General features: G+C 38.7%; 1 long non-coding RNA gene and 1 pseudogene across 1 annotated transcript; one reads left to right on the top strand and one right to left on the bottom strand.

Annotated features, from left to right (window-relative positions):
- On the bottom strand, positions 3,136 to 3,397 carry RN7SKP143 (RN7SK pseudogene 143; annotated as a pseudogene).
- On the top strand, positions 11,245 to 15,662 carry LOC105378426 (uncharacterized). The gene is made up of 4 exons (XR_946198.3): positions 11,245 to 12,502; positions 12,668 to 12,732; positions 12,842 to 12,877; positions 14,985 to 15,662. It is a non-coding gene; the product is annotated as an uncharacterized LOC105378426 (long non-coding RNA).
- Positions 15,663 to 20,308: the final 4,646 nt, after the last annotated feature.

Genomic DNA, 20,308 nt, shown 5'->3' on the forward strand with positions numbered 1-20,308 from the left:
CTTTCTGTGTTTTTTTTCCCTATTCTCTCCATATCTATTCATTTCTACAATCTATGACATTCTAGTCAGCAGACAGATTAAGGAGAAAAATGTCTTAAAATGTACCCTGGGTATCAGCATCTGTCCTCATCAGTCTCCATACCCCTTCAGGTTTCCTGAACTGAAGTGCCTTGTGAACCCCGCAATAAACTGTTTTGCAAATTCAAAAAAAAATAAAAAAAATAAAACAACAGAATGAAGGAACTCCTAGAAATAACCTGAAGTTGGTAAAACACATTGGGTTAAAATCTAGTCTTTAGCTCTAGGACTTAGAGGATATAAGCTAGAGGCTTCCTCATTCTTAGAGGTCAGTGTGGCAGCAGAAATAAAGTTGTTATAAACTAAGTGTCAAACAATGTGCTGGGTTACTTATGCATCCATTCTCTATCTTGGAGATGGAATGAGGAATTAGCTGAAGTGGGTTTATTGAAGGACTCACAGTCTAGTGGGGAAAAGAGACAGTATGGTAAATTATAAAGACACTCATTGGGGACTTTGGGTTCCAAAGGAAAAAACAGTATTCCTCCACGTCTTCTTTTGTAGTTACATTTGTTATGGGATTTTAGCACTTCTAACAAAATAGTTCTGGCTATTTCAGTCTCTTGGCCCTAGGAATACTAGACCATTTTTTCCAGTATTCTGTACCCTATATAGTTTCTCTCCTGAGATCAATGGCTATGTCCCTGACCTTTGACCCCAGCCTTCCTCTTGATCTTGAGGCAGGACCAATGTCTACTCTCAGACTACAGCTGACACGCTTAGGTTTTGAGACTTGTCATTTGGCTCACCTGGTAACACACTCCTGGGTTTTTCATTACAGGCTTCCTCTCTGTCTCTTCTTGGATCCAAACCACAGCAACTCAGTCACAAAATTCTGTCGGCAAGTTGCTGAATGCAGATGCCAGACCGAGACTTAGGTCTCTTGTTTCAAAAAGTCAGCAGACTTATTGTGGTATCGTGGACCCCAAGGGGACACCTAGCTCTCCCTCTCTGGCTGCCACTTTTCAAGGCAATTAGAGCAAATTAGGTCTAGTGAAATGGAAATTTAATTTTTAAAAAATTTCTTAATTATTCAATGAGTAATTTACTCAGCATTTTCTGGATGCCAGGCACTGTGCTAGGAATTGGAAATACAGAGATATTCTCATGTAATTGATAATCATTGGGAAGGCTGAGATGGAACCAAATAGTTACACCGCAAATGTTTTATGAGCTCAATAGAGACCTTGAGGGGAAAAAGAAAGACCAGGAGAACAGAATAAACCCCCACAGAAGACAAAACATTCTACCTGGGTCTTAAAAGTCAAGTAGTTCCTCAAGGAACAGGTAAAGAATCTTCAAAGGCATTGCAGTGGGAAAGAGTGGTGTGATTGGGCAATGACTTTAATGTAGGAAGTAGGAAACAAAGAAGGGTCGGGGGATCGACAGGTTCTGTCTGAGATGTACGTGAATTGCTCTCCTCCTGCCTGTGCATTTCCTGCTATGTTTCTCCTCTCCTTAGTGGGGAAGAATCTCCACTTTCTCTCTCTCTGCCAAGGCCAGAGTTTTAATAACTCACTACTCTCAAAAAGTTAAATTCAACTTGTTCTGGGGGAAAAAAAAATTTCATTTTTGACTCTCACCATACATGCTAAATTTTATCAGATGGTCCCCAACTCATCTGAAAAAATTAATACCATTTTTTAAAAAGTGAAATTTACCCAGTATTTTACATTTAAGGAGTAGTTGAAAGATTTGGTGCTTCTGATTCATAGTTTTACTATCATACAAAATAAAGCCCCACAGCCAACATATAACTGCTCTAGTAATGTACTTCATACCCACAAAATGGTCTCAGCAGCTTATAACCATCAGGGAGAGCCTCCGTGTTCTTAAAATGAAATGCTTAAATGATAAGTAAGAAGGCGACTCTTACTGCAAACATCTGCACTTCTGGAGTTTCAATTTCTCAAGATGGAAGATTAACAATTTGGTAAGAAATGGACTGCACCAGTAATTCTCAAGCCTGCATGTACATCCTAATTACATATGGAATTTGTTAAAAAAAATAATAAAGGGCAGATGGAATTGGAAATTGAAGTTTAAAAAAATTCCACAGATGACTGTGGTGCATAGTCAGGTTTGCAAGTTTCAGGATTCAATGACTTATTTGGATACATCCAGTCATAAGACTGTTAGGCAATTTTGTGGGTGAATAGTTAAATAATTCTACTTCATCAAGATTGTGAATTGTATGTATATAAAAATAATTTTTTGGGAAAGGATTCCTAAGTGTTTTTATGAACTGTGAATGATTGTTTTGAAAACCATACCTTGAGCTGCTCATTTGAACTGTAACCATTCTTCTATTCTGGTATAACAGTGCATACAAGATTTAATCTGTTATTTCTTATTTTTTCCTTAATTGATAAATAAAAATTGTACACACGGTGTGCAAAGTAATGTTCACATATATGTGTACATTATTAAACGATTGACTTAAGCTAGTTAACTATTTATGTTTTTCTCATTCTTATCTGTAATACCTCTGTTGCTTTTGGCCATTAATTCATAAATATCTTTCACTCCAGGCAAACCCGGGCAGGACTGTGCTGTTACTAGTGCAGAATTGTCTTCTCTTGGTGGGAGCAGGTTTCTTCAACCTGTAGAGCATGTGTAAGAATAGAAAAAACGTAGATTAACGTTCTGTTGTGACTTTTCACATGGTTGTTTAAAAAGCGTGAGGGCTGGCTAGGCATGGTGTCTCCACCTGTAATCTCAGCACTTTGGGAGGCTGAGGCAGGCGGATCACCTGAGGTCAGGAATTTGAGACCAGCCTGGCCACATGACAAAACCTCTTCTCTACTAAAAATACAAAAATTAGCCAGGAGTGATGGTGCATGCCTGTAATCCCAGCTACTCAGTAGGCTGAGGCAGGAGAATCGCTTGAACCCAGGAGGCGGAGGTTGCGGTGAACCAAGATTGCGCCACTGCACTTCAGTCACTTCACAACAGAGTGAGACTGTCTCCAAAAAGAAAAAAAAAAGTGTGAGGGCTAAGCATTGTTGAATTGTTGAATTTAAAAAATAGATGAGGTTTACGGTAGAAAAATCAAGTTAAACATGGATTTTTGAGAGCTTGTTTGGAGGTTCTAGCAGAATAGTGCAGCTACTCGTATTCCTTTGACGGAAAACCGGTCCTCTTCTATCGGGGATGATCGATTTCTTTCACTGAGTCCACAGCTTCGGGAGGGACACACATGGCACGGTGACAGAGGAAGGGGTCACTCGCCTAGCCAGCTGGATCAGCCCAATCAACCCAGCCAGATCAGCCGAATCAATGGGGTAACAGATGTCGCAGCCAGATCATCTTCCCATCCTAAACATGGACTTTTGAATCACACACAGTGACATCGGTCATTTCCCTTGCTATACTTCAAGTGTGTGTCTGCTGAAGAGTGGACCAAATTGGTGATGTTTGTGTCGGTGGTTCCCCTTCACACAGAATGGGCTTACAGGAAGAGGATAACTGTTCTGGAGGCCCTGCCACAACCAGGTAGGGATTCACCAGAATGAGAGAGCCAGTTCTTCCAAGGCAGAGAGGAATGCTGTTACTAGAAAATAGAAGGAAGGGTAAAAAACAGATAACAATGTAGGTCCACTGCAATTGTATATCAGATTACATTGTTATTTGTTTGTTTTCTCTGAAACTAAAATTGAAGCAGAGGTACAAGAAATAAGGCTGTTTATTTTAAAGCCATTTTTAGCATGTAGTATAAAGGAATGTATATATTAACCACTTAATACACACCAGAAACAAAGGGAAGAAGAATTTGAGTAGTCAGGCATTTTCCTGCCTGAAATAATTGTGTTGATATGAGTCAAAGAGGGATCTTGTTCCAAATGTACATTACATTAGATACAAAAGTAATTATAAAACAGTATGGTTTTGTAAGTTAAGTCACAGAGTTTTCAGGTGAGAAGAAACTGAGTCATTGTTTTGGTTGCTGTCCCTATCAGTTGCACTGCTCACTTGTATCAAAGCTATTTTTATTGAAGTAAGTAGAATCAGACGTTTCATTTTCACTAAAAAATGCAATGAGAAGTTGCAAGTTGTTATGTGTCATAAGGGTAAGCATTTTCTTTTTAAGTTTTTTTAATTTTTAATTTTTGTGGGTACATAGTCGGTGTATCGGTGTGTTTGTGTGTGTGTGTGTATATATATATGGTAAATATATCAAACATGAGATGTTGTAACACAGGCATGCAATGTGAAATAAGCACATCAGAGAGAATGAGGTATCCATCCCCTGGAGCATTTATCCTTCGATAAACCATTCAATTACAAACCATTCAATTGAACCTTACAAACCATTCAATTACATTATTAAAGTTATTTTAAAATGTACAATTAAGTTATTATTGCCTATAGTCACCCTGTTGTCCTATTACATACTAGGTCTTATTTGTTCTTTCTAACTACTTTTTGTACCCATTAACCATTCCCATATTTACCCCACTTGGCCCCCTACTACCCTTCTTGGCTTCTGGTAACCATCTTTCTACTCTCTATGTTCATAAGTTTAATTGTTTTGATTTTTAGATACCACAAATAAGTGAGAATATGCAATGTTTGTCTTTCTGTTCTTGGCTTATTTCACTTAACATAATGGTCTCCAGTTCCATCCATGTTGTTACAAATGACTGGATTTCATTTATTTTGGCTGAATAGTACTGAATAATGTATGTACCACTTTTGTTGTTCCATTCATCTGTTGATGGGCACTTACGTTGCTTCCACATCTTAACTATTATGAACAGTACTGCAACAAACACAGAGCTGCAGATATATCTTCAGTGTATGGATTTCCTTTCTTTTGGGCATATACCCAGCAGTGAGATTGATGAATGATATGGTAGCTCAATTTTTAGTTTTTTGAGGAACTCCAAACTGTTCTCCACAGTGGTTGTACTAATTTACATTCCCAGGAACAGTTTATGAGGGTTTTCTTTTCTCTACATCTTCACCAGCATTTGTTATTGCCTGTCTTTTGGATATAGGCCATTTTAACTGGGGTGAGATAATATCTCGTAGTTTTGATTTGCATTTCTCTGATGATCAGTGATGTAGAGCCCCTTTTCATATGCTTGTTTGCTATTTCTATGTCTTCTTTTGATAAATGTCTATTCAAATCTTTAGCCCATTTTTTGATTGGATTATTAAATTTTTTTTTTCTGTAGATTGTTTGAGCTCCTTGTATATTCTGGGTATTAATCCCTTGTCAGATGCGTAGTTTTCAAATCTTTTCTCCCATTCTGTGAGCTGTGTCTTCACTTTGTTGATTGTATCCTTTGCTGTGCAGAAGCTTTTTAACTTGATTGATCCTATCTGCTCATTTTTGCTTTGGTTGCCTGTGCTTGTGAGGTATTATACTACTGAAGAAATTTTGCCCAGACCAATGTCCTGGAGATTTTCCCCAATATTTTCTGGTGGTAGTTTCATAGTTTGAGATCTTAGATTTAATTCTTTAATTACTTTTGATTTGATTTTTGAGGCAAGAGATAGGGGTCTAGTTGTATTGTTCTGCATATGGATATCAAGTTTTCTCAGCACCAGTTATTGATGAGACTGTCTTTTCCCCAGTGTATGTTCTTGGCACTTTTCTCAAAAATGAGTTCACTGTAGGTGTGTGGATTCATTTCTGGGTTCTCTATTCTGTTCTGTTGGTCTATGTGTCTGTTTTTATGCTAGTACCATGCTGTTTTGGTTACTATAGCTCTGTAGTATAATTTGAAGTCAGGTAATGTGATTCCTCCAGTTTTGTTCCTTTTGCTTAGGATACCTTTGGCTATTCTGGGCCTTTTGTGATTTCATATAAATTTTATGATCATTTATTCTGTGAAGAATGTCATTAGTATTTTCATAGGGATTGCATTGAATCTGTAGATTGCTTTTGGGTAGCATGGACATTTTAGTAATATTACTTCTTCCAATCCATGAACATGGAATATGATTTTTTTTGGTGTTCTCTTCCATTTCTTTCATCAGTGTTTAATTGTTTTCATTAGAGAGAGCTTTCATTTCTTTGGTTAACTTAATTCCTAGGAATTTAATTTTATGTGTGGCTATTGTAAATGGGATTACTTTTGAATTTGTTTTCAGAATAAGCATTTTCTCTTGGCAATGTTTCCCAAGCCCAGCGGTTTGCCCAATAGTAACAATTTATAAACTTAGTTGATGATCACACCACCAAGTGAATCCTAACTCCATTTTACTATTTTATTCTGCTCTATTTACTCTCGCTGTGATTCTTTTTTCTTTCTTTATGTTCTCTTCCCATTACATACACTAAAATCCATTCAAAACGTTATTATTCACTCTTCTCACAGTTCCTGTTTACTCTAAATAATTTATCACAATACTTACTTTTCCCCATTCTTTTTTTTTCCTTTTTCTCCTCATCCTTCTTTTCCCCAGTTACTTCTTTACTTCTTGAGGATATGAATGTAGAACAGAGAAGTGTGCTTAACAAAAAGGCTTAGTGAAAATAAAAAATAAGAGAGGTAGAAAATAAAATAAAAGTAAGAAATGAAAGCCTTAGAGACAGTGTGTTGCTTTTGGTCTAAAAATAGAGAAAAGTGCACTTAAAAATTGAGGCAAACTAAATGAAAAGGGTCATGGTTGCCAGCTATGTGTAAAGCTTTAAAGCTATCCTTTTAGATTTGAGGACTCCTTTCTGAAAGCAAGAAGTGTGGAGGGGAATTCCTCAAGTGGTTTAAAGGGCTTCAAGTCATCCTGCTTCCTCTCCACACTTTGGAGAACACCTTTGATTAAAAGGTTTCCAAGGAGGAATGTGGAAGAAACAGAGAAAGAGAAAACTGGCATTGACACTAGAATAGAACTTGATAGTGAGGTAAATGAAAAGATGACAAGCACTGAGAATAATATTATTGCTTAGATGTTACCTGGGCCTCTGTGTGAACCAAATTGTCACTTAAAGGCATAAAAGAGGTCATGGTTTTGAAGAGTCTGTGGCTAAAGGTAAGATTTAGGTAGTTGTGCTTAAGTATCCAGTAATTCAGTTATTCAGTAATATTATGAGATTCTTTTTTTAAATGATAATATAAAAAAATCACCAGCTAAATTTAGACTTGTTCACTGAAAATAATGGTTTTGAAACATGGTCATCAGAAACTCAAGGGGTTTGGCAATTCTGACCCATCTGAAGACCTTTGCAGGAGAAAGTAAAATTTAGTGAACTTGAGTTTTCTTTTCTGTTTATGAGTCACACTAGTCTTGCATAAGCTGTGGATCCTAGGTGCAATCTCACGACTGTGAAAGAGGGAGAATACAGAGTCTGCTTACTTTAGGAGACAATGAACAGAAGCAAATGTACTCATCTATGAAATGGAATTTTGATAAATAGTAAAGCTGTTTAATGTCAGGGATTCTTAAATATCTAACACATGCACTCATATTAGGTGGGTTTTTTTCACAATCCATTTTCTTATTGATTATGTTTATTACATTATTGTCAGGAAATATGGACCATATGACCACCAACTTTGAATGTATTGATACTTTCTCTTTTTTTCTTTCTTTTTTTTAACTTTTAGGTTAAAAGGGTACATGTGCAGATTTGTTATACAGATAAATTGCATGTCTTGAGGGTTTGGTGTAAAGATTGTTTCATAAGCCAAGTGATTAGCATAGCACCCAATAGGTAGTTTTTTGATCCTTACCCTTCTCCCTCCCTCCATGCTCAATAGGCTCCGGTGTCTGTTATTCCCTTCTTTGTGTCCATATGTACTCAGCGTTCATAAAACGTCAAAATAGATGATGCATTTCTCAGAATGTGTCCCCACATGACTCAGACCCATGACTGTATGTACATATATGTAACTACTTCCCTGATCAGTTGTAGGATATTTCCAGTACTCATAAGGGCTCCTATATAGCCCTTTCTATTAATATTAAGAGTGCTTTATTATGCACCAATAGACAGTGAATACATGTCTTTCTCTCCGCGTTTATTTAACCTAAGAACGAGCACGGTTTTCTTCTTTAGTATTTCAAAGCATAATATATTAATCAACATAGGGTAAATCCATGCTATGTTAATAAATAACCCAAAAATCTTAGCAGAGTAATCTGGAAACATTTATTCCTTCTCATGCTACATGTTCTGTTCATCTTGGCCACTCAGAAAATAGGCTTATGGAGAATTTATTTTGACACGAGCTTCCATGTTTTAGGACTTCATTAGGGACTACCTCACTCACAGTACCAACTTCTGGGTTAGTCAGATTAGGCAGGTTTAAGCTAAAAACATGATATAATTTTAAAAATCATCCAAAGGTTAATGGCTCAACATAATGAAAGTATTGTTGTTCACATTGCATATCCGTCTCAAGTCAGCAGGTGTGTCCTGATTATTGTAACTATTTAGGGACTCGGGATGGTGGAGGATCCACCCTGATACTTTTTTCTATAATTACCAAAGCAAGGAAAGAAGATGTAGTAAGTCACAAACCAACTCAAAGTTCCTGCCAGAAAGTGACACTTATTACTTCTGTTCATTAAGTAAAGCAAGTCACAGGGCCACATCTAAGAGGACAGGGAAGGGCAATCCTCACACCTGGTTGCGGAGTAGTTATATTTGTGAACAACTCCATTGCTTATCACATGTTGCAAAGGCCATTTCCTGAAACTTAATGAATGTTTATGAATAGCACAAGTGCAGAACTGAGAGTGACTGTTTTAATATATTAAGTAGTTACTTTTAGCAGTCACGGACCCCAAGCCCAAACTTAGGAGCCTTAACTTTGAAAAGGATCTCATGTGTTAGAAGATTATTTCTACTTCTAATGAGCTATTTCCACACCCCTCTTTTTTGGGGTGGGGGGACAGAGTCTCACTTTGTCACCCAGGCTGGAGTGCAGTGGTGCAATCTTGGCTCACTCCAACCTCCGTCTTCCGGGTTCAAGTGATTCTCCTGCCTCAGTCTCCCAAGTAGCTGGGACTACAGGCATGTGCCACCATGCCTGGCTAATTTTTGTAATTTTAGTAGAAATAGGGTTTCACCATGTTGGCCAGGTTGGTCTTGAACTCCTGACCTCAACTGATCCACCCACCTCGGCCTCCCAAAGTGCCAGATTACAGATGTGAGCCACTGTGCCCGGCCCTTCTACACCTTTCCACACCCCTCCACCCCTCAGAATCAGGGGGCAGCATCTTTTGTTTTCCAGAATTTAAAGCTTCTCTTCCTTTTTTCCCCCCCAGAATAACAATAGTTCATTTTTATCCCAACCTTATTAACACTGCCATTACCCATTTCTTTTAAGATAAATATAATATCCCCCTGCACCTGCTCCATATGTCATCTGATCTTCATGACCAAGGCACATACAATATTCAACAGACTAGATCCTAGTAGGTTGCCCATCTGAATGAGAGAGCACAGATTTCCTCTCCTTTTACTGTCTTCTGCATCCTATTCTTTTCCTGAATCAAGTTTTGGATAAGAATAAGAAATATGGTTTAGGGTAAAATTTGCCTCAAATGTGTAGCTTCCCCTACCCACTGGAGTTCCCAAGGGGTCAAGAAACCTGCTATCTCTCTAACACAAGGCCCCTCCCCCAGAAAAACTTTTCAGGGAAGATGTGTCTCAAAGAACTTCAACCTTTGAATGCTTGCCCTAGGCTGCTTCACTCATCAGACTGCGGCTCCTAACTAATGCAGTGGTAAACCAAGTTCTGTTCTTGCCTTTAGCTTGTGGCAGGGGTGTTATTGTATGTACTCTTCAGGCTATTCCAGGGTGCTCATTCTAGCTGTTTTGCTTTGGGGATAATGCAAAATGGGACTTAGGTAGGATAAGACATCAGCTGCACATGTTCAGGTGTTATCTACTCAAAATACCCACTCACAAAACCTTTGCTTTCCTCATCTGAAGGTTAAGGCATGGAATTTCTTTTGATGGAAGAACACATTTTTGTGTATTCCTTGGCTTCATTTATAGCTTATATATTATTTTTTACTTGTGGCTATGTCATGTCTTTCTTTCAAATTCTTTCCCTTTGGGGATAATACAAAAGTCATTATTGTAAGTGAGGTTCTCTTAGTGCTTACTGTATGCCAGATTCTGTGTTAAGTACTTTTTGCATATTATTTCATTTACTTCTCCTTACAGCTCCAAGCTTATTGTTTCTATTTTACAGATTCCGATTCCAAGATTACCAACAAATGAGAAGAGTCTGGTTTTCAATCCAGGTCTTTCTGACTCAGTTCATATGTCTGTCATGTATATAGTTTTGTGATTTTTCTTCCTGTATTCAACTGTGGCTCTTAACTTGCTATCTTTTTTGCTGAACAATTGCATTGAATCATGCTTAGTAGAGTGATCCCTATGAGCCCAGCCTTCCTCCCACCCAGGAAAATAAAAGAGAAAAAAGAAAACAAACAAAAACCAAAAACAGCAAACCAACAAACATTCAATAACCCAATGCTAAATAGCAATTTACACTGTAGTTTTTATCTGTCAGCCATTCTGTTGAGGTTGTGACTGTTAGTTACATGGAAGAATGAATCAATTGCCCCTTTTGCTGGTCTCAGTTCCCAGGCTGAGCATGTCTTTCTGCTGAATGTGATTCAGGGAGATCCTTAACCAAAGTCATTGACTTCATCTGAGACTCAACTAAAGGAACTTACCAACAGAGAAAAACACAAAGAGGAAAACTGTTCTTAAGGAGTGATGTATATCAGTTTCCAGTATGATATCTTTCTTAGAGAACTTTAAGGGTAATTTTGATCTTTTGCTGCCATCAGAGCCTCATCTTCATGCAAGCTGTGACACTTTTACCATGACACATTGATATGGTTTGGCTGTGTCTCATGCAAATCTCATCTTGAATTCCCACGTGTTGTGGGAGGGACCCAGTTGGAGGTAATTGAATCATGGGGGGCAGGTCTTTCCTGTGCTGTTCTTGTGATAGTGAATAAGTCTCATGAGAGCTGACGATTATATAAAGGGAATTTCCCTGCACAAGCTCTCTTCTCTTGTCTGCTGCCATGTGAGACATACCTTTCACCTTCCACCATGATTGTGAGGCCTCCCCAGCCATGTGGAACTGTAAGTCCAATAAACCTCTTTCTTTTGTAAATTGCCCACTCTCAGATATGTCTTTATCAGCAGCTTGAAAACAGACTAATACACATATTATGTAACATCAGACAGAGAAAGGACCTTAAAAGTCGTTTAAAACAACCCCCTCAGAGTATGTGGAAACTCAGCCATAAACAAGTCAAACAGTATATATCCAACAAAACTAGATTGAGATACCCCACCCCATCCTGCAAGTGGTGGACAGGCTCAGGGCTTGGACTCAATGACCAAGTTGCAGACCCAGTTCTATGGTTCCTATTTGTGTGCCTATGGGAAACAGATTTTTCTCTCTTCCATTCACAGATGTTGAATAAAATACCCCCCCTCTTTTTTTTTTTGCTGTTCAGATTAGGCAAAATAATGCATGTACACCTGATTTTTAAGCCATTATGTATTATATAGATGCAAAAAATTATGATAATTTTACCTACACCAGGCTGCCTCTTTTTACCTTTGCCCTGCCTTTTACATTTTCTTTGCCTTTAAATTCTTCATCTCTCCATCTGGACTGAACCAGTAGTTTTGCAGATCTTTCTCCACACTTTACCACACTCAGAAGGTATAATAAGAATAAGTTGAGGGAGTCTGAAAAGGATTAGACCATGTAGTCAAGAGCTACGTGAGCCTCTGTGGGAGAGAGAACTCTCAATTTTTATTCCTCACCACATTCTTCTTCTTCTTTCCAATAAACTAATAATTTTTATAACAGTGGAGTTCAGGGCTTGCAACAAGGGTTCAGAACAACAGGGTTAATCAGTTATTTGTGTGTATGTGGGCGCATCCCGTGTCACATGTGGGAGTGATAATTGAGTATCTCCCAATTCAGAGATTATTTTGCTCTCTAGGTGTGTTGGTTGTGACACCTACACAAAATGAGTAAGATTAGTAGTATCCCATACAGATTGGAATTACAGACTTTTGACTCAGAACATCCTGGTTGGAGTGAAGGCTCCGAGAATTATCAGTTTTGTGATCATTGGCAAATTATTTATTCTCTCCCAGGCAAGGTTTCCTCATTTTGATAATGGACATACTATTGTAACTAACCTTGTTGGGTTGCTGTGAGAATGATGTAATTATGGATGCACGTATAGAGATATCATGGTGGTATTAAAACACATCTACAAATTCTCTAACACAGTTCCCATGAAGACATGGAGTGGACATCCCTTCCCTTCACAATTTGCCCTGACCTTTTGACTGCCTGGGTGAACAGAATGTGTCAAAGTGACACTGCATGGCTTTTGAGTCTAGGATCTAAAAGCCCACCCAGCTTATGCTTATTTCTCGTGGAAACACACTTTGAGAATCTTCAGCTGGCAAGTAAGCAATACAGTAACTCAAATTACCTTTTATAGAGATGGAGTGGGGGGAGAGAGAGAGAGGGAGAGAGAGAGAGAGAGAGAAAGAAAGAGAGAGAGAGAGAGAGATGTCTGAGTTCCAGTTGGTCCAGCTGCCAGCCTCCAAATTTTGAGTCTTCTTTTCCAGGTACCATTTGAGTAAAGAAACCCTGAAGAAGATTCCAGCCCTAGCCATTGTCTGCCTGCAACTGTGTAAGAGATCCCAAGCATGAACTACCTAACTGAGCCCTGTCAACCCTCAGAATCTTGAGAAATAATAATAATAATTTATTATTATTTTATCCACCATTTTTGTTCGTAGAGGACCAGACAATCAGAACAGAGCTTAACACCTAAGGTATTATTTTAAGTATTTCATATATTTAACTCATTTGCTCCTCACAACTCTGTTACTTTTTCCATTGCACAGTTTGGATAGTTGATGTACAGAGAAGTTAAATGTATCACCTGGCCTTTTCTCCATGCAACAAATAACTCCCAGATCTAGCAATGTAAAATAATAATTCTGTTAATCTGGGCCTGGTTTGGCTGATCTTGGTTGGTGCCACTTATGTGTCTGCAATTAGCAATTGGCTTACTGGGGCCTGGGGAGTCTGCAACGGCCTCATTCACATTCCTGGTCATTGACTCCTCATCTGGGAGGGGGTGAGTGGGCCATGTGATCTTTAATTCCCTTGCAGATTAATCTGGCCTTGTCCTCATGGTGGTGGCAGCATTCCAGGAGAACAAGTGAAGCATTTCAGGGCTCCTGAGGCCTAACCTTGGGGGTGGATCACTTTTGGTTCTGCCATAGTTTGTTCATCACACCAGGTCAAAAAGCCAGCCCAGATTCATGGCATGAGGAAATAAAATCTGTCTCTCAATAGCAAATCACATTGCAAAAGGCAGGGTTATAATGAAGGAGATTCTTGGGGCCATTTTGCAACAATAGGCCACGTTAGGTAACTTGCCCATTGTCACGCAGGTCACAGACAGCAGAGCCAGGATCTGAACCCAGGTACCAGGGCTCCAGAAGGCATACTCTTAACCACCTCACTACATTGCCTCTGAGTACATGAGAGCTATTGTTAGGTCTTGGTGAAATCCACCTCAAAACATAAGCTGGCTCCTATATCAAATGAGAGACCCAAGGTTTTCATAATATGTCACAGCAGATAGCTTGAATCTCTGCTTAACCACTTACCAGATGTTATTCTTGGGTAAATTACTCAAACTCTTTGAATCTCATTTTCCTCACATGAAAAATGATAGTTTTGGTAAGAATTATACTAGACAATAAGGTACAGTCATTTCTGCTAGAACACAGCATATGCCTTCCTAAAAATCACCATGCTATGCAAAATCACACAAGAAACCACAGGCTCATGAGAAAAGTGGGATTAGAGGCACAACACTAAAACATCAGTGACACATGCAAAGAGATGATAGGACTTTAATGAAATGGTGGTGCTGTTTTATGTGTGTTAAATGGTTAGGAAATACATACATAGTACAATAAATACGGCCCTTTACTTTAAAAAAGATCCAAAGTTTGCTTGTGCAACTGGGTGTCAATAGGGTTCAGCTTGTGAGTTATTGTGGCATGATAGATGCAGCACTATCCGAAATTGGCCAAAAAGTTTTAACACTGGGTGTGGACAATGTGACTCATCACATATGTGGTGAACTGAGGCAGCTGGTAGATGTTCAAAGTGTGTTCCTGCATATATTTTGTGTATTCCTAAGCAGTTTGCTTCATCTGAGTGCCATTTTCTGTATTCGATTGGTGTTTCTTGAGGAAAAAAGTTGTGCATAAGCAAACAAAATTCACATTATGTTCAAGTTGTTCCCTAATATATCATTTCATTCTGGAACAAGTTTCTGTTTTCAAAACAAGTATTATAACAAAATTGCCCATGAGTGGTTAGCATGCATATAGCTCTTATTTCCACTCAATAAATATTAGCTCATTACTCTTAATAATGAGGCCTCATTGACTGTAAAAGAAACACATATTGTATTCAATGGTATTAATGTAGGTGAAGAGAGGATGCATGGGTGTCTGGCAAGGAATATGCAAAAAGTAAGGCCAGTGAGCAAGAATTGTCAGTGTGTTTCCAGCACCGGCCGGCGAATCCAAGTGTCCTGCTTTCTTGGCAAGTAAATCTCAATTTGAAAATGGATGTGTCAGGCCTAATGGCACTGGTGATTAAGGTCATCCAGCTTCCTCCTCCTGCTCCCAGTCTGGGCTCACTCGGCAAACTCCTGATTATGACCTACCCTCTCATGTCATTGCAAGGCTGTGTTCTCCTGCTGACATAAACATTCTGGACCACTTGGCAATTACATTTCTTAGAGTGAATTGCAAAATTGGCACTCTGCTTTGTACATTGGTCTCTTGTAAATTCCCAGGGATTAATCAACTACAAGTACACTGACACTTTGTATTTTCTGGATCTGCAAAGCTAGGGAGCAGATGCTGGAATGCCATGACCTGCAAAATGACTGTGCCCTACCACGCCTGCCAGCTGCCTCCCCAGATGACACATTCACCCGCTCTCGAACTGCAAGTGCTGGCACATAACTGCCTCAGATCTGGACAAATGTACGTGTGGGATGTAAGACAGGTTTTTTCTAAGGTCCCTTCTCTTACAGAATTAGAATCAATTTCTTCCTTCACTAGTAATTTATTTCAATAGCTAGGGTCTGAACTTCAAGCATAGCATCTCTACTTATAACAACTTAGATTTTGGGTAGCTGACTTGACTTTGAATGAATTTGCACCTGCAAATACTGATTTTTCTCTTTCTTTGGTAGGTAAATTACCTTAAAAGTAAAAGACTATGACATTCAGAGGTCTACTCTATTCCCTATTCATCTTGAACCAAGCTTGAACTAACAAAAGCACATATGATTAATGTCATCAAAGAAAGAACTAAAATATAAATAGACCCTTTTATTTTGCTTCATTGCAATAGTGTCAGACATCTAACTCCATGACTAGTTCTGAAATGCACCACTTTTGAAGATGCTAGGTTTGCAATCTTTTTTCTTACCAATTGAGTGAATTTGTAGGTTTTACCTATGGATGAATGTATAGTAGTATAAATAAACTGGATATTTGCAAATGTTTATTGTAGTCTGAAGGCAAAAATAATTATCCATTTCGGCAAGTTGGAACCGTAACCATCACCTGAAATGTTCAAAACCTGTAAAGATCAGTATTATCAATATCTGTCATCTCATAAGAATGCCTTAGTGTTTAAGCTAATTCAATTATAGTTTGCATATTTCTAGAATGAAACACCATCTTTTATGATATAATGTGCTAAGGATATAATAATTGTATGATCTTTGGCCTCCAAGAGTATGAATCTGACTGAAGCAATATTCAAATAAATTAGTCATTCAATCACTAATTCATTTATTTAACAAACTCATGTAGAGAACTTGAGGGCTAGGAATTGTTTTAGACATTGAGATTGCAACCATAAACTTGAGAGACAAGGTCTCTGTTTTGGTGAGAGGAAGTACACAAATAAACAAGATAATTTTAGATAGCCAAGAGAGCAATGAAGAAAATAAAACAGGGTGAATTAATGCAGAATGAGTAGGGAGGATTAATGCAGAATGAGTAGGGAGGATGGTACTTTAGCTGGGATTATTAGGGATGGTTTCTTTGAGTAGAAGACATCTGTGCTGAGATCTGAATATCAGCACATGGCCGCTATGAGGATCTGAAAGACGTAGTCAAGGGCTTCAAGACTGCGATAAGTCACCAGGAGCACTGGCTCACGTCTATAATCCAAGCACTCTGGAAGGCAGAGTGAATGAGACTCAGTTTCAAAAAATAAAAATGAAAAGAAAAAAAAGACCATGATAAGTGACATAATTTGGATATGTGTCCCTGTCCAAATTTCAGGTTGAAATGTAATCCCCAATGATGGAGGTGGGGACTGGTGGGAGCCGATTGGATCATGGGAGCAGACTTCTCAGGAATGATTTAGTACCATCCCCTTGGTACTGTTCTTGTGACAGTGAGTGAGTTCTTATGAGATCTGGTTACCATAGCTCAAAAACAGGCATAGACAATGCATACACAAATGAACGTGGCTTTGTTCCAATTAAACTTTATTAACAGAATCAAATATCCGTCACATTTGGCCTGCTGGCCATGGTTGGGCAAACTCTGGTCTAGATATAACCATTTTCAGCACTTCCAAGTTTCTTCTTTTTCTCCTTTGTTTCTTATTCCCTATCTCTTCATTCTCATTCTTTTGGTTTTGTTAGTCTTAATCTTTGAAACCCCGATATTTTTCTTACATTACTTAAATCATTTATAGTCTCATCAACTATGATATTCCAGAAAATCAATCTGCTTGAAGATTTGGTTGGATGGCCTATGATAGTGACTTGCCCAATACCACACCACCTTCTTGGTGAAAAGTGTACAAAAGTATTCATTTCTCACTTACTGCTCTATCTTCTGAATTAGTTTTCTGGCACAGAAAAACTGATTACAAAGATAAGGAGTCATATATTATTAGTTATTGTCTCCAACTGCTATGTAAAATCAAATAGCAAGTTCTATTAACTCTTCCTCATGAAGTTTTCTATCCATCTATTGAGAATAATCTTGGATGATCTACGTAAGATTGGATCCAACCAGAAAAGAAAATAATGTAAATGTTTAAAATTTAACAGAGTGAATTGATATCACCAGTGATTAAGCTATGAAGTTACATAGGGATCAGTGAGACCACTTAGAGATTAGCAACAATAAGAAGCTTCTACCAACCATACTCAAGGTTGGGCTGGGGACAGAGGAAGGAGTTGGGGTTACCGAAGCCAATGACACAAGGGCCTGTGAAACAAAGTGAGAGAGCAGGATGGAGGAAGGGCAAGGTGTAAGTCTGAGGGGAACAGACCCAGGATCTGTTCATCCACTCTGCCTTTTGCTACCATGCTGGATCAGGTACTCATTGCCTTACACATGATTGACTTGGATAACATCTTAAGTTCCCCAATTTCCAAAATTAATTGGTTCTTCAAGTTGTATTCCTCTACATGATTGGTCAAACTCACAGCCAACTTTTCTGTTTGAACTCAAGTCTTACTTCTTTTTTGAAATGTTTTTGATTGCTCCAAAAGACCATGGTAAACTCCACCTTTTTTGAAACCCTCTTTGAGGCATCATTTCTTTTTTTTTCCCATAGGTTTTTGGTGAGCAGGTGGTGTTTGGTTACACAAATAAGTTCTTTTGTGGTAATTTCTGATATTTTGGTGCATCCATCACCTGAGCAGTGTACATTGTACCCAGTTTGTAGTATTTTTTCCCCCACTCCCCTTCCATCCTTCCTTGCACAACCCCCGAGTTCTCAAAGTTCATTGTATCCTTCTTATGTCTTTACATCCTCATAGCTTAGTTCCCACTTATGAGTGAGAACATATGATGTTTGGTTTTCCATTCCTGAGTTACTTCACTTAGCATAATAGTGTCCAACCCCATCCAGGTTGCTGCAAATGCCGTTATTTCATTCCTTTTTATGGTTGAGTAGTATTCCATGGCATATATATATATATATATATATATATATATATATATATATATATGTGTGTGTGTGTGTGTGTATATATATATATGTATATGTGTGTGTATATATATGTATATGTGTGTGTATATACACGTATATATATGTATTTGAATATATATGTATATGTGTATATATATATGCATATATATATATCTCTCTCTCACAGTTTTTTAATCCACTTGTTGATTGATGGGCATTTGGGCTGGTTCTGTATTTTTGCAATTGCAAATTGTTCTACTATAAACATACGTGTGCAAGTATCTTTTTTGTCTGCAGCATACCACCCTGAAAGTGCCCAATCTTTTCTGAGGCATCATTTCTAAGAAGTCCTAGACACCTTGTCATGTATTTCGTTATATTGGTTCTAAACATTTATTGTAAGTAGCATGTAGGTTTCTTAAGCACAGGAACCACATCTATATTTCTTCGTGTTGCCTATAAAGTTTATCACAAGCAAGTCAGTGCCAGACAAACACTTATTGATTGATTAGGTATTAAAATAAGAGAATCTTAAAAGCAAGAAGAAAACTTCGCTTGCCTAATTCATATTCTCTTAAATAGTCACACAGAGATTCTTAAAAAGTCAGAATGAGAAATTGGCTAAAACAGAGAAAGGTTTGCAGAGAGGTCAGAATGTGGAAGGGTCTTGAAATTCTTTACTAGAAGGAAAACTGAGCAGAAAACACACACAGGGGCACACACACACACATGCACACCCACACACACAGAGGCACCCATCAGTGTGGGCAAAATGAGCTTCAGGGCCTAGAATCTGAAAGTGCTCTGGTTACAGGTACAGGGTGAAATGTACTTACTACACACGGAACAACAAAAATCTGTGTACTTGCATTTGCTCTTCCAAATGCAAGTATTTTCAAATATGCTTAGGAAGAAAGTTACTGGGGAAGTCTCTTGTGATCTCTTTGAGGGACCCACTACCACCATGAGTTGTCTTCCTCATGGAAGGGAGCCTCTCAGAGTTAGCTTCTCCAGGCCCACACTGTCCCTTTGTGATGTGAGCTACCTGGAGGAAAAGAGTTTGGGTTTTGTCCAACTGAACACCAAGAACAGAGTGTCTCAGAACCAGAGGTGATCCACAACTTCATCGTCATTCACAACCCATTGCACAACCTCAGCTGAGCTCATTCTGTACTGCCTGGGATTATCCTCCTTCGGTGACTCAGCTTCTTTGCCAATCAGCAGCTTCAGCTTTCACACTATGCAACTTTGTGCAAACATTTTCCTGACACATCCTGGATAAGTAGCAGGGCGATGTAACATGTGCTACACAGGCATTCCATTCCCTGGCGTCCATCAACAGCCCTTCCACAGTCTGCATGGATGCCCCTTGTAGTTATGCTAGAAACAAATTCTTGTTGGTTTTTTAAACAGTGCCTGATGTTCTTCAAAACCACATCCAGCCCTCCAGTCCTTGGGGTACTTGCAGGTCATGGACAGGAAAGAGCTGTGGGATAAAATAAAGAACTGTGTCACTAAGATCTCAATGGTTTTGCAAGGGGAACTTCCTCTGAAAGAGGTACTCATGAGACACAAAGTCATGCTTCTCCTTACCAGACACAGAGAATGAGAGTGTAGTGATGTGAAGGATGGTTCTGTAGTAGTTTGGTGCATAAGCGTGACATCATTGGCTCTTCAACCCACTGACCTGAGGATGTCTAAATGGAAAGTGGCCTTATCTAGGATCCATAGTTCCTGGGACCTAAGAAACATGTGGATTATAGGTGCAAGTACTTTGGAGGATTCTCAGAAATATTTGGGAAGGTCACCCTTCCTCTCTGGGTTGGAGTATTTCTAACTAAAGAGCAATGGAGAGTCCTCGGAACAGTTTTTTAAATTGATATGATGGCTGTTGCACTCTCAGGAGGCTGGTGATGCCTAGAACACCTGGGTTCCAGGAAAAATTGTCTCCTAACAGCAAGAAAAGACTCAAGAGTGGAATGTCTTTGGTGAAAGTGAGCCCTTGAGTGATTCAAGGCCAGGCACACCTAGTAGGCTGGAATTACTGAGAAGATTTGGGTATTGTTTTTCAGGCAGATCATATGACTCTTGAAGTCCCTCTTCATCCTGAAATTTGAAGGTAAGAGAATTTGCATAGGACATTCTTATTGAGCAGACCTAAAATATTCTCTTATCTGTCTCTGACTTCTTTTCTGTGTTGTTATGAGGCTACATGT

This window comes from Homo sapiens, chromosome 10, assembly GCF_000001405.40.
Source record: "Homo sapiens chromosome 10, GRCh38.p14 Primary Assembly".
Taxonomy (NCBI): Eukaryota; Metazoa; Chordata; class Mammalia; order Primates; family Hominidae; genus Homo; species Homo sapiens.